Genomic DNA, 14,334 nt, shown 5'->3' with positions numbered 1-14,334 from the left:
ACTAATATAGATGAGCCATAATGCATTCTGTTAGACTTCTTGTAGGTTCCTTCACACTTGAGTCTGTCAATTCATTCCCTCCATCTGTTTCTCTTTTTGTTTTGGGATTTAAACAGATACCTGGCTTGGTGACTTTAAAGAAGCTCCCCTGTGTTAGTTTTGCTGGTGTTGATAGCCTGGATGATGTTAAAAATCATACATACAATGAATTATTTGTATCTGGAGGTTTTATCGTATCTGATGAATCAATTCTAAACCCAGAGGTTGTCACAGTTGGTAAGATGATGTTCTTTTGAGCACGTAACTCCTCTTCTGACTCTCATACTTTTTAATGTACTGTCCATTTATTCTGCCATTCACAGATAACTAGTACATTTCAGTCTTTTCTTGAGCTTTTATTACCTCAAATTTCTTTCTCCTTCTCTTAGACCAATAATATCCTCTAAATGTGGTGTAAAGCAAGGCTGTCTGCCCCTGCTGCAGTTGAATCACTTCTTGTATTACTGTCATCAACATGTTCTTTTTTATGTGTAGATGTTATATTATTAGAGCTTTAGGCATGTATAGATCTGTCTCCCTTAGACAAAGAGAAATGAAAATAGTACATAGGAAAGTAGGTGTTTCTACATAATATGAAAAAACACTTCTTTCATAATTCACTTATGGAATGATTATTTATTGAATTAAAAACAAACTTCATTATCTCTAACAGAGAACCTTAAAAATTTTTTGACATTCCTTGAGGAACTTAGTACTCCAGAAGGAAAATGGCAATGGAAAGTCCACTGTAAATTTCAGAAGAAACTAAAGGAACTAGGCAGGTAAGCTTTGAAACATAACTATATAATGGTTGTTGATTTTAACATTGTACTCATAATATTTCTCTCTTCCCATGTTTGTAGATTATGGATGTTCATTTTTCACAGATGTCCATAGCCAGCCATAATTGAGTATAGATACTGAATTATTCTAGCCTTTATAAGAAGCAGTATTTTTCAGTAGAAGTTTGCTGAAGTTGTTATGTGCATAGGTAAAATTGGTTTAATCTTTGCCATTTGTGGATTTAGAGTAATCATCCAAATGGAATGATCAGCATTTTTTTCTTTTTTTTTTTGAGATAGAGTTTTGCTTTTGTAGCCCAGGCTGGAGTGCAATGGGACGATCTCGCCTCACTGCAACCTCCACCTCCTGGGTTCAAGCAATTCTCCTACCTCAGCCTCTCAAGTAGCTGAGATTACAGGCGCCCGCCACCATGCCCAGCTAATTTTTGTATTTTTAGTAGAGATGGGGTTTCACCGTGTTGGCCCGGCTGGTCTCGAACTCCTGTCTTCAGGTGATCCACCTGCCTCGGCCTCCCAAAGTGCTGGGATTACAGGTGTGAGCCACTGTGCCTGGCCAGCATTTTCCTTTTTTAACTGAACTGTATGTGCCAACTACATCAGGCCCTCTCCCAACTGACTACTTTATAGGTAGCTAATAAAATTACATATATTTGGACAAGGATTAATCTTGACCTGGTGAAGTGATTTGTGAGTAGGACATCAATTCATGTATACATAGATAATTTCTAAAATGCATGGAAGTCACTTCTCCAAGTGTGATCTTTGGAACACTAGTCAATTGAGAGATTCCATAAATGATTATGGTAATCAGGCATGTTTGGGACACTATATTCTACTAGTAAAGTCTATAAAATGTATTTACACATTAAAGGATATGAAGAACTCTAGTTAAAAGAATTTACATTGTGTCAATCATTATTTCCTTAAACTTTATACCACAAAAATTTCTTAAAATACGACATTCCATGGTACACTGTTCAGGAAATTAAGGCTTAAATAATTTTTGAGTATTTAATTCATTGTAGCAATTCACTTTTAAAAGCTTATCTCCACTTGTTGCCTTGTCCCTTGCAATATAGAAACAGCTTAGAGCTGGCCGGGCACGGTGGCTTACGCCTGTAATCCCAGCACATTGGGAGGCTGAGGCGGGTGGATCACAAGGTCAGGAGATTGAGAGTATCCTGTCCAACATGGTGAAACCCCATCTGTACTAAAAATACAAAAATTAGCTGGGTGTGGTGGCATACACCTGTAGTCCCAGCTACTCGGGAAGCTGAGGCAGGAGAATCGGCGACAGAGTGAGACTCTGTCTCAAAAAAAAAAAAGAAATAGCTTAGAGCCATAATAGTGTATTTAATTTTATTTTTTAAGACAGAGTTTCGTTCTTGTTGCCCAGACTGGAGTGTAATAGAGCAGTCTCAGCTCACTGCAACCTCTGCCTCCTGGGTTCAAGTGATTCTTCTGCCTCAGCCTCCCAAGTAGTTCGGATTACAGGCATGAGCCACCTCATCCGGCTAATTGTGAATTTTGAGTAGAGATGGGGTTTCACCATGTTGGCCAGGCTGGTCTCGAACTCCTGATCTCAGGTGATCCAACTGCTTTGGCCTCCCAAAGTTTTGGGATTACAGGTGTGAGCCACCAGGCCTGGTCCATATATTGTGTTTTTTGAAGGAAGGATTTATACTGTTTTTGTCCCTTTAAGTCCTTCATTAAAGTTCAAAATTAATAAAGGTAATCATAATTTATTATTTAGTAAGTAGAATAATCAGCTGAGATTTTAGCCTAAGCTGTATAGCTGGCCCTGAGGCCTCGCGACCAAGAAACCCCTGGACTTATCCCTTCTTTCTTTCTTTCCAAAGAAGCACACCCCCTACATCAGGCAGAGAGCTAAAGCAGTGCAGTTGTCATTAGTTGCCTCAGTGGAGAAATTGAATTTTAATCTAAAGCAGAAATTTCCATACTAAATTTTAGAAGTACAGATCCAGAAACTGAACTGCTTAATTTCACAGATTGAATGCTAAAGCTCTAAGTCTGTTGACGCTTCTGAATGTCTATCAGAAGAAACATCTGGTTGAAATTTTGTCATACCACAATTGTGATTCACAAACTCGAAATGCTCCAGAATTGGATTGCCTTATCAGACTTCAGGCTCAGAACATACAGCAACGACACATAGTCTTTTTAACAGGTAAAGAGAGCACTCCTAAGCTTTCTACTATGAATATAGGAATGTGAATGAAAGGATTTTATGGGGCTGTGGTGGGTATTGCTAAGCTTTGATTCTGAAAATGTGAAGGAAAAGATTTTGTGAGGGCTAGGGGCTGTCTATATTTTGAAGTGTTTCATACATGAAACTTTTTTTCTTAATTTAGAGAAGAACATCAAGATGCTTTCCAGTTATACAGATAATGGAATAGTGGTTGCAACTGCTGAAGACTTCATGCAAAACTTTAAAAATCTTGTGGGCTATCACAATTCAATCACAGAAGAAAACCTTCCACAGCTTGGTGCTAATGAGAATCTTGAGTCGCAGTCAGGTAACTTTTCAGTGGTTTTCATTTTCTTTAACGCAGACAGAAAAAGAGGAATGGTTTTGCTGTTACCAAATAATGAAATGACCATTTTGAAACCACGTACCTCAGTATAAACAGCCATAGGGAAAGTGTTTCAAGACATTTATCATTCTAATACTTAGCATGCACAAGATCTGCTCATTTATTATACTGTAGCCAGTGTAAGTTGTAAGTTATTATAGATTATGCATTTCTACCTATATTGTAGACAGTGCATACTATGGAGTATGCATTTTGTCTTTGAGGTTTTTGTAAGCATTATTGGTTACTATTGTCAGCAAAGGGGTTATATTAATAAAAAGGTAGGAAACCAGATATGGCGATTTAGCATTGAGCTACTAGATTTCCCCACATGCATAAAGCAATTTAATTGCAAGATAGTAGAGCTGTCATAGCTTTAATCTTTTGTGAGATGGCCTCTGCTTTGGTTCCAGGTTCTGTGTAAAATGAAAGATGTACTTTTGTTTTTGATGAAAAAAAGCAGAAATGATCATTCATTTAGTGCTAACCAACTAGTTTAGTAATCCAGTGAAGCTAGATGTCAAAAAATTTTATTTTATATTTGTCTTGTCAAATACTGAATTACCGTATAACTTTAGATGCTGTTTTGACATTAACCCCTTTGGAGCTGGGAGTTGGGATTTCCCAACATTAAACGTGAACACATTTCGCAGAAGCTTTTAGCATCGGATTATCTGGACATTCACATCTAGTGTGAGTGTTGTGACTAAGTGAACTTGTGGCAGAAGACCAAGCTTTAAGGGATTGTGGACTTGCAGACCCTGACGCGTTATATTGTGTGAGTAGTGTATAATTTTAAAACTTAAACAAACTGTGTATTTCAATAGAGGAGGACTTTTTGTTTTTTAAATGTAGCTCTTTTAGAAAACGATGAAAAGGATGAAGAGGATATGTCTCTGGATTCAGGGGATGAAATCTCACATATAGAAGTATGCAGCAATTTTCATTCAGAAATATGGGAGAAAGAGACCAAAGGATCACGTGGAACAGATCAAAAAAAGAATACTCAAATTGAGTTGCAATCGTCTCCTGATGTGCAAAACAGTTTATTAGAAGATAAGACTTACCTTGATTCTGAAGAGAGAACTTCTATTGATATAGTATGCTCTGAAGGAGAGAACAGCAATTCAACAGAACAAGATTCATATAGTAACTTTCAGGTTTATCATAGTCAATTAAATATGTCCCATCAGTTTAGTCATTTTAATGTTCTCACTCATCAGACATTTTTGGGGACACCATATGCCCTTTCATCAAGTCAGTCTCAAGAAAATGAGAATTACTTCTTATCTGCTTATACTGAAAGCTTGGATAGAGATAAATCTCCACCTCCCTTAAGTTGGGGGAAAAGTGATTCTTCCAGGCCATATTCACAAGAGAAATAACTGTAGTAACTTTTTTTTTAAGAGATTGTTGTGGACTTTGTTTATTAACAATTTATATTTCATTCTCTAAACAAAAGGTTCTTGTTCTTTCTCAAATGTTTTTTCTTTTATTTAAATCATGATGGCCTGTAACAGTTGAAGCATCTAAAAATTGAAATAAATATATATTTTTAACATATATTGTACTTGAATTATCTCATGTTGGCACTTCTAAGTTTTACTTTTTGTATGTTACCTGTACTTAGGCTTCAAATTGAAGCCTGTTTTATGTGTAAAATCAGATGCTTGCAGGAGGACGGTAAACAGCAAAGGCTTTACTTCTTTTTCTCTAATGTCACCTGATATAAAGTACTTTTGTTGAAGTGAATTATTTTGATGTAGGCTTTTGTATACTGTGTTTACACAGGTATAAGTCAGTAATAGCAGTGTTAATATTTACAGGATTTTGGCTCGATACCTCAAGATTTATCTAACAGTGCAGTTTCATTTAGATAATAAACTATGTACATAGGACACATTTTTTATCTCTAGGCTTAGTCATGTAAAAACTGCCTATTGCTAAAATTCTGGTAACTTTTTGAGAGTATTGGATAATTTTCAGTACCTGCGCAATCCTTGATTTAATGAAATTAAATTTTTTATTTCAAAAGATAGGCTTCTGTTTATCAAAGGCGTTGAACAATTTGATTTTTAAATTAGTTTTAGCAAAATGGAAGTATAATGGGAATATATTTTTGAGGTGGTCTTAGTAGTAATTACCATTTGTTGAACACATTAATGCTATACTAGACAGATACAGTGGAGATAGCTTTCAAACCCGTATCTATTCCTAACTACTGCCTCTAATACTAATTACTAACTTGTTACTAATGCTAACTTTTAAAAATGTTTTTGAAAATTGCAATTTCTACAAATAAATGTCATAGTGCAAATAAATGTCAGGATTTAGAGAAGGAGCCTAAACTGAATTTGTGTTATTTCAGTAAAAGTTATGGAGTTATGGGTCTAGACGTGTTAATAAGTTAGACAGAACTTTGGCACTTTAGAACAAATGCATGAGTGGTATTTCAGTTCCTAAGTTACATAAAAAGTGTGAAAGAACACTGTGAGGTCCCAGCAACGCCAGACTATATTAAGGTAAGTAGAAAGTGTTTTTATAGGGCTTCAATACCCAGGTGGTGACAGAGCAGAAGAACCGGTTTTTTTTTTTTTTTTTTTACTACTAAGCTTTTACAAAAGAAGTATCTGTTTTATTGTATAGAACAAGTACAGCATTTTACTACATAGTATACAAGTTTTTAATGAGCATTTAAAAAAATAAGTAAATCTAGGCTATTTGAAAAATACAGTTGAGCCAGTGAGCACATTTTATAATTTGGAAGACACAAATCAAATGTGAAGGATTTGATTTTCTACATTTAAAATGAAGAACCAAAACTCTCTTCTTGATTTTCAGCTAAAGGCAGGAGACTACTTTCCAACTCCTTTTGCTTCTGGAGAAGGCCCTGAAATCACATTGATATATGTTTGTTAGTAAAATGTGCACACCTGACTTGCAATGTTGTGTTAAACTAGAATTATATTCACTTGGAAAACATATCGCTTAGGATAAAATTTTGTCATTCAAAAATTTTTTCAGAAATGCTTGTACTAGACCACCTCATTTGGATATATAGCTATCACATTTGTAAGATTCTGTTTTTAGCATAAAAATCAATAGGGATGAAAATTTTCTTAGAACTCAAGACTCCATAACTATGGGGGTAAATGAAGTCATCCCTTCTCCCCCAGTCCACCCCCAAGTGCTCTTAGATACTGAAGGAGTCTCCCTTAACATACAGTGTTTTTTTTTTGTTGTTGTTGTTTTGTTTTTTTTTGGAGATGGAGTCTCGCTCTGTCGCCCAAGCTGGAGTACAGTGGTGCAATCTCACTGCAAGCTCTGCCTCCCAGGTTCACACCATTCTCCTGCCTCAACCTCCCGAATGGCTGGGACTACAGGCACCCACCACCACGCCTGGCTAACTAACTAACTAACTTTTTGTATTTTTAGTAGAGACAGGGTTTCACTGTGTTAGCCAGGATGGTCTTGATCTCCTGACCTCATGATCTGCCTGCCTCAGCCTCCCAAAGTGCTGGGATTACAGGCTTGAGCCACTGCTCCTGGCCAACATCCAGTATTTTATCTTGACTGTCCTAACCTTACCTTAGATGCTAACAGAAGGGTCCTGCTGAAATAACACTGGGTGCTATATTGATGGGTAAATGTGTACATCCTATTCCTTCCTCTTTATCTCACAATTTTTGTCTCCACTAAGCAAGAAGTAAACTAACACTTCGTCACTCTAAAGAAATAACTTATGTAAAACTCTTAGTAACCCTGTTTGTCTTCAAATGAGTAAATAGACCAAAGTGGGGGGACAATTTTCTAGTTCTGTAGAGGGAAAAACATCTGAGTCAACATTTTGAAATGCAGAGGGTATTGGTACATGACGACATGGAAAAGGGCACTTTTAAACACAGCTTACTCTTCCTCAAGTACAGAGAGTATATAGTGAATCAAAACTAACTACAGCCATTCTTTTTAAAGCCCAAGGGATGGAGCAAAGGTGTAAGGATGTTACCTGTTTGTTTTAATCAGAGAGCAAAAAGAAGTCACAATAGTTTGGGAGAAAAAGTAGTATGGTGAGTAAGGTTATGCGTATAATTTCATACTGAATTTATTACTATTTGGGATGTACGTCAATGTTCTAACAAACACTGCCAACACGTCAATTTTTTAAAAAGCGTGGGCCACATTGCTAAGAATTTGTTAAAGCATAACTGTATTTTTTGTTTTAGGGCCTTATTGATGTTTTGCCGTTCCAATGTATGCATTTTTTTACTCAATAAACTTGTCTTAATTTTAGAACTGTCTGATGATTTCGTACTGGAAAGAACTACTCAAAGACGGCAGTGTAAAAGCAAGTCTTAGGAAAGTCCCATTTTATTTGTGTCTAACAAACATACAGGAACTGAAATATTTTTGTTAAATCCTGGGATGCACCGAAGTAACTTAAAACAAACCGTTCAACAGGTTCCCCCAACCGCCCACGCCACATAAAGAACAGACATATCTACACTTGAAAAAGCTCATACCTGTCTCAGTTCTGAAAGTCCCTTAAGGATTGCTTGCTGTCGATCCCTATTTTTCACCATGTTAGGATTAAGAAGTGGATCCCTGACACAGTCAGAATCAAATAGCTGTCGTTTTTGGCCACAGTCTAAAGCCAGATGAAAGTAACAAGTCAGTCAATTACATTAGTAAAATGACATAGCCCTGTGCTATATAATATTGTCAGGAGTCATTATAATAAGTATGTATCCTAGGAAAGTACTAAGAAAAATTTAAGACATATTCAAGAAACTTTATAGAACTAAGTGCAGGAATTACTAATTTGGAATTTAAAGTTGTTGACGGGGTTTACATGGGTCTTCAATTTTTACAGTTAGAATGCTTAATATTTACTTACCTTGTGAATTTTGGTACTGAGGGTCCTGGGTTGAAGGCCCAGACAATGGTGCATCGGGATCAAGGTAATAGATCTCATTTGTTCGAACATACGGAATAAAATGGGATGATTCAGAAATCCCAGATGATAATTCTGTTTGATTACTTCCTGAGATCAAATTCTCTCTCTCATAGCTACTGTTTTTTAGTGGTAAATGTAATGTATTTTGAGTTTGTTGGGTTCTGTTTTTCACTACTGGAACTGGTGATGATGGAGACCTATTTAAAAAAAAAATAGTAAAAAATTGTGTATTTAGATTAAGTATATCTCTTTAATCACATTTCACTTTATTTATGAGATGAAGTCTCGCTCTGTTGCCCAGGCTGGAGTGCAGTGGCGCGATCTCAGCTCACTGCAACTCTCCTGCTTCAGCCTCCCAAGTAGCTGGGATTACAGGCGCACGCCACAGTGCCCAGCTAGTTTCTGTATTTTTAGTAGAGACGGGGTTCACCAAGTTGGCCAGGCTGGTCTTGAACTCCTGACCTCAGGTGGATCCACCTGCCTCGGCCTCCCAAAGTGCTGGGATTACAGGCGTGAGCCACATGCCTGGCCCATTTCACTTTATTCTAAATGTACCTGTAACACCTTTGGGAATGTATGCATAGAAGCCTGAACTCTATAATATTGTTCCATAAAACCGGGGAAGAGAATGGTATTCATTTATGTTTTTACTAGCACTAGCTATGGTATGTGTACTGTAGCACAAGGGAGAAATTTAATTCCTAGATCCTGAGGAACAGTGCTGGCTTGGTTAATCTGAGCCTACTGTTTCTCCTTAGATAATTCACCATACAATAATGTACTCACCATTTGAATGAAACTTGTTTTTAGAGCCCCATTCTGAGACAACTAAACCAGCTGGTTCATGCACAAAGAATAAAAATTCTAATGGTTCTAAATCTCTCATTAACTGACTGAATTTCTCATTGTCCTTATCAGTCATTTCTTCCCATTCACAGCCCCCAGCCATCCCTCCTCCCAAAGCAGAATGCCTATTCTGCTAATGACATACCTGGAATATCAAAATCACTTAGTTAAGTCTAGAGATAAAAGTAAATGTTATCTACATTCCTGCCTAGGCCCAGTCCAACTTGGGCCTTCAAGCTCCTGCTAAAGTGCCACACTATCCCTTAAACCTCTAACCCTCACCTGGAAGCCACACCCTTTCTGATTGTTCTCTACATATACCATATGATGCTGTCCAGATCTTGAATCCCTTTTTTGTCCCACATAGAAAGCATTAAGTAGCTGCGGAATTAATCTGATGCATACTTACCTTTCCTTGCTGAATGAATGAATATTCAGAGGCTCTTCTTCCTAAAATATGGATAGATAAATGCAGAAAGGAATATATAGCATCTTCACATGTCCCCACAAATATTTTTAGGGCTACTTGTTGAAATAGTCTGAGGGTAATATTTGAATAACAGGTACTGACTGAGCAATGGAATAGATATAGTTTTTTCCAGAGTCAAAACTAATCCTTGGGAGTTCCTAATCTCCCAAACCTCTGTCTATGTGGACTATAAACAAGGGTTTTAAAGGGGTATTTGAATACACAGCATCCATCTACAGAAGTTGTGTAAGTGTAAAGGACTCGATAAGCATAAGGAAACCTTTTCAGCTTTGTGGGCCATATTGTTTCTGTTGCTAGTCTGGTGTGTGAAGTCAGCCACAGACAATTCATAAAAGAATGAGTTGACTATGTTCGTATAAAACTTTCCAAAAACAGGCAGCAGCCTGGATTTGCCCATGGGATATAGTTTGCTGATCCCTAATGTAAACTGAAACAGATCAGAACAGCCTTACCAAAGCATACGTATGAGAAACTGTGTTTTGAATCCAGAAACGTCAACACATCATCTAAGATGGAAGAGCTTTACCTTTTTGACTAGATGCCACCTCAACTTTGACTCCGTTTCTTGATGAGATGAATGAAAAATTTCTGGTGAAATGCCTCTGTTTTGAGAGAGGTGCCCAGGATTATTTTTTTCTACCAAATGAAGCAATTCCATCTGCCTCCTTACTTTTTTTTCTTCTCTCTGCTTTTGAAGCTGTTTAGGGTACTTTTCTGATGCTGGAATATACCTTTTAGGTGGCTTATTTATATTCCAATCAGGCCTTTTAGGATATTTCTTCATGTGTTTTGTTTGTTTCTCTATTCTTGTGAACTGATTACACTGGTCATTACACCGATTGTTTTCTTTTTCTAAGCTGGCTCCTTTATCCTGAGTTAGTTCTTGCTTGTTTTTCTTGGTGCTAAACTGTCCAATAAGTTCTGCCGAAATCTCAGGAGATGAACAATTTGTGATGTCCCTCTCCATTAATGATCCACAATGTGATTCTGCATTGGTGAATATTCCTATATTTAAGTCATCTAAAAAAAAGTTGCAAATGATTTTTAAAAATTGTAAACAAAATTTTCAATATTAAATAATTTTCCCCAAAACATTAAACAATTATTGCCCTCTAAGACTTTTTTCTTTCATTAATTTTCAACAAAACCGAACCTCTATACTCATTAAAGAACAACCACATACTCCCAACCACTGGCAGCCACCACTCTAATTTCCATTTCTATGAACTGATAATCATGAAAAGATGCTCAACATCATCAGTCACTGGGGGGGAAATGCAAACCAAAACCACCTGAGATACCACTTCACAACCAGTAGAATAACAAGGGCTGGCAAGGATATAGAGAATCAGAACCCACATGCACTGATGGTGGGAATGTAAAATGGTACCACTGCTTTGGAGAAGAGTTTGGTGGTTCCTCAAAATGCTAAACATACAGTACCTGTTACTCATGACTCAGCAATTCTACTCTTCTCTCGAACTAAAAATGTACATCCACAAAAATCTATATATGAATGTTCACAGCAGCATATTCATAGCCAAAAAGTGGAGATAACCCAAATGTTCATCAACTCATGAATAAAAATGTGGTATTATAAATGTAATATTTATTCAGTGACAAACAGGAATGAAGTACTGACACATGCTACAACATGGATGAACCTTAAAACATGCTAAGAGAGAAAGAAGCCAGAGAAGACCGTTATGTGGTCTAATTCCAGTTACGTGAAATGTCCACAACAGGCAAAAATATTCAGAGACAGAATGTTAACTGGAGGAGAAAAGAGAAATAGAAAGTGGCAAGTAATGGGTACAGTGTTTCTAGAGTGATCAAAATGTTTTAGAATTGATTGTGGTAATGGTTGCACCACTGAATACCAAAAAAGACTAAACTGTAGGATAAATTTTGTGGTACATGACATGTTTCAACAAAGCTGTTATCCCTTTATTTTGTAACTCTTACTGAAAACCTCAAGTTTTGTTAATTTTTGAACTTTTAAATTGAACTTAATTCTAACTGCTTTAATTATGACTTTAAGTAAATTTTAAACCAAACCACAATTTCCACACAAATACCTGTTTGCACACCAGTATCCTTCTTAGAAGTCGTAGAATTCATATATGTATTCATTTTACCACTGATTTCATCAGAATCATGTCTTGAATTTGAAATGTTAGATGCATTATATTCCATTTGTATTGTATCAACTGGCAAAGAGAAATCACCTGATAAAACAACACTTAAGGAATATTAATAAAAATTATGTATAGCAGCAACTAAATACAATAATTTTCACTTAATCAGAATGAACACTGCAATAAAAATTTTCTTACAAAAAGTACCCACATTCCTATCAGTTACTGAATTTAGGGAGATCATTTAATAATTGTTCTCGGTAAAAATAGACACAAAAAGTACACATTTTACCTATTATTTTAACATTAACACATTTTAACCTTTAGTTCTGCTTTTATTGCAATTTTCCACATAAATTAAGCATTCCTATTTATAAAATTATACTAGTTTAAAGTCTGATATTCCTACAAGAATAGTAGGTATATTGAAGGTATTAAAAATAGGCAATCATTTAGGCTGGGTGCAGTGACTCACACCTGTAATCCCAACACTTTGGGAGGCCAAGGTGGGAGAGTCATCTGAAGGCAGCAAGACCAGCCTGGGCAACAAAGCGAGATTCCATGTCTACAAAAAATATGAGGTTGCAGTGAGCTGTGATGGCACCACTGCACTCTAGCCTGTGCAACAGAATGAGTCCTTGTCTCCAAACAAAGATAAAAAGGAATTATTTAAAATCATCTTCTAAAAATATTATAAATAAAGTTCTGGTTAGGCCCTTACCACCAAGATTTTTAATCAGTCTAGAAGTGTCATGTCCCTTTTGCGCCAATTCTCGGATTCTTTGTTCTTGTTTTAGTCTCTGTGCCAGTTCCTGTGCTCGCTGCATTGTCTGGAATAGCTCATTTGTCTTGAGAGTCATGATTTCCTGTCAATATTGATGTGTTACTAAATTCATCTATTAAACATACAAAGACTTGACTATTTCCTCTCAGTAAACATTTTCTAAGCTTCTCCTATGTATCAGGCACTTGTTTAGACACTAAGGGTACAACAGTCAACAAGGCAAAGTTCCTGCCCTTTTGGAGCTTACATTTTAACATCTTTTTCTACAGCTGTATTCAATCACAAATATAACTCTTTTTACCCATTTCAAATTTATACTAAAAGTTTTCAAAGTTTTAAAAACTTTTATTACATTTAAAAATAGATTTTAAAAGGTAAACACAAGATTTATGACCATTTCTTGCGGTTCAAATGATACTTTACTGATTTCCTCATGTTACCTAGGGGTAACTGGCTCAGCCTATCAACTCAATGAAACTGGAACCCAGACCATGTGTCCCTTTACCAGCCAATTTTGGAGTGAAGGTTGCCAAGTGGGAAAACTGCAGCAAAAGGCAAGAAAATGTTTAAAGTGCTCTACACTTTAAAACTTTAGCAAGTGAGTATTTTTGTTAGGTTAGCTCAAATATGGTACCACCACCATACATACCTATCTTGTCTGCACCACTTAGGGTTCTCCTAGCCAACTAGGTATCTACTTTTTAAAAAGGCCATTTAACACAGAGATCTCTAACAGTCACAAATTGTATCATCAATCCCAGCCAATTATTCTGCAAATGTATGTTCCTAAGTGGATAATGATAGGCCAATCATTTCTCTTAACATACCTAGAATAATTATTGATATAATAATTATTGCTTAGAAATGAAGCAAAAAAACTAGGAGTAGATAAAAATGAAGCACATAGGTAATTTGCTTTGTGCTGTAATAATTCATCTTGACCTCCTCAACAGAAAAAGCCAAACCAATATAACATTTGAGAACTATATCATGTGAAATAATAAAACTTTCTCAAGCTTCTCTCTTTGCTAACTTTATGTGAAGGTCTGACATTTCCATACATAGCTTCACAATTCAAAATAATAGAAATGTTCAACTTCTGGTTATTTTTCCTTTAAAAACATATCCATTTTTATTCTAAAATGTTACAATTAGGAGGCCAAGCATGGTAGCTCACACCTGTAATACCAACACTTTAGGAGGCTGAGGTGGGAGGATCGCTTGAACATAGTGAGACCCTGTCTCCACAGACCAACAAAAAAATTAGCCAGATGTGTTGGTACGTGCCTGTAGTCCCTGCTACTGAGGAGACCAAGGTGGAAGGACAACTTGTGCCCAGAGGTCAAGACTGCAGTGAGCTATGATTGCACCACTGCACTCCAACCTGGGCAAAAGAGTGAGACCCTGTCTCAAAAACACAAACAAAAACCAAAGTTACAATTAGAATGTAAGTACCTACTTCCTTTTGTTTTTGCTTAAGTATGTCTTCTTCATACTGTTTCTGCATCTCTTCACGTTCCTGTGCTAAGCGAAGCTCCTCTTCTTGTTCTTCCTTCTTTCTTTGCTCTTCCTCCAGTTGTTTCTTCCTGCGCTTCTCTTCTACCTGGGCAGTGATGGCTTTCTAGTCATAAGCAATCACGTAAATCATTGTCAAAAATAAAAATCTAAGCAGGAGGGAATTCAAGA

At 36.5% G+C, this 14,334-nt stretch overlaps 2 protein-coding genes across 49 annotated transcripts in view; one reads left to right on the top strand and one right to left on the bottom strand.

Moving 5' to 3' along the window:
• TASOR (transcription activation suppressor) overlaps window positions 1–7,726 on the top strand; it is a 63,134-nt gene extending 55,408 nt beyond the window's left edge. For 6 of the 9 annotated variants that reach the window (NM_001365636.2, NM_001365635.2, NM_001363940.1 and 3 more), the window contains 5 exons: window positions 117–276; window positions 713–821; window positions 2,852–3,030; window positions 3,215–3,379; window positions 4,292–7,726. In NM_001365636.2, the coding sequence (NP_001352565.1) occupies window positions 117–276; window positions 713–821; window positions 2,852–3,030; window positions 3,215–3,379; window positions 4,292–4,821 (1,143 nt within the window). In that variant the 3' untranslated portion in view covers window positions 4,822–7,726. Of the gene's footprint in view, window positions 1–116; window positions 277–712; window positions 822–2,851; window positions 3,031–3,214; window positions 3,380–4,014 lie in introns of all 9 variants that reach the window. The other 3 variants (NM_001365638.2, NM_001365637.2, NM_001112736.2) reach the window with 1 other exon arrangement.
• The window catches only part of CCDC66 (coiled-coil domain containing 66), a 64,682-nt gene continuing 56,368 nt past the window's right edge, over window positions 6,021–14,334 (bottom strand). For 17 of the 40 annotated variants that reach the window (NR_148366.1, NR_148374.1, NR_024460.2 and 14 more), the window contains 8 exons: window positions 14,108–14,269; window positions 12,586–12,730; window positions 11,805–11,936; window positions 10,253–10,746; window positions 9,646–9,686; window positions 8,331–8,587; window positions 7,957–8,081; window positions 6,021–6,326 (listed from right to left, as the gene is read on the bottom strand). Coding sequence is in view for 26 of the 40 variants with exons in the window: in NM_001353160.1 (NP_001340089.1) it covers window positions 6,240–6,326; window positions 7,957–8,081; window positions 8,331–8,587; window positions 9,646–9,686; window positions 10,253–10,746; window positions 11,805–11,936; window positions 12,586–12,730; window positions 14,108–14,269 (1,443 nt within the window). In the remaining 14 variants the exon portion in view is untranslated. Of the gene's footprint in view, window positions 6,327–7,956; window positions 8,082–8,330; window positions 8,588–9,645; window positions 9,687–10,252; window positions 10,747–11,804; window positions 11,969–12,585; window positions 12,731–14,103; window positions 14,270–14,334 lie in introns of those variants that run through there. The other 23 variants (XM_047448017.1, XM_047448018.1, XM_011533616.4 and 20 more) reach the window with 5 other exon arrangements.

Source organism: Homo sapiens, chromosome 3 (genome assembly GCF_000001405.40).
Source record: "Homo sapiens chromosome 3, GRCh38.p14 Primary Assembly".
Classification (NCBI taxonomy): Eukaryota; Metazoa; Chordata; class Mammalia; order Primates; family Hominidae; genus Homo; species Homo sapiens.
The sequence above is the reverse complement of the archived record's forward strand: the minus strand, read 5'-3'. Positions and strand labels throughout refer to the sequence as shown.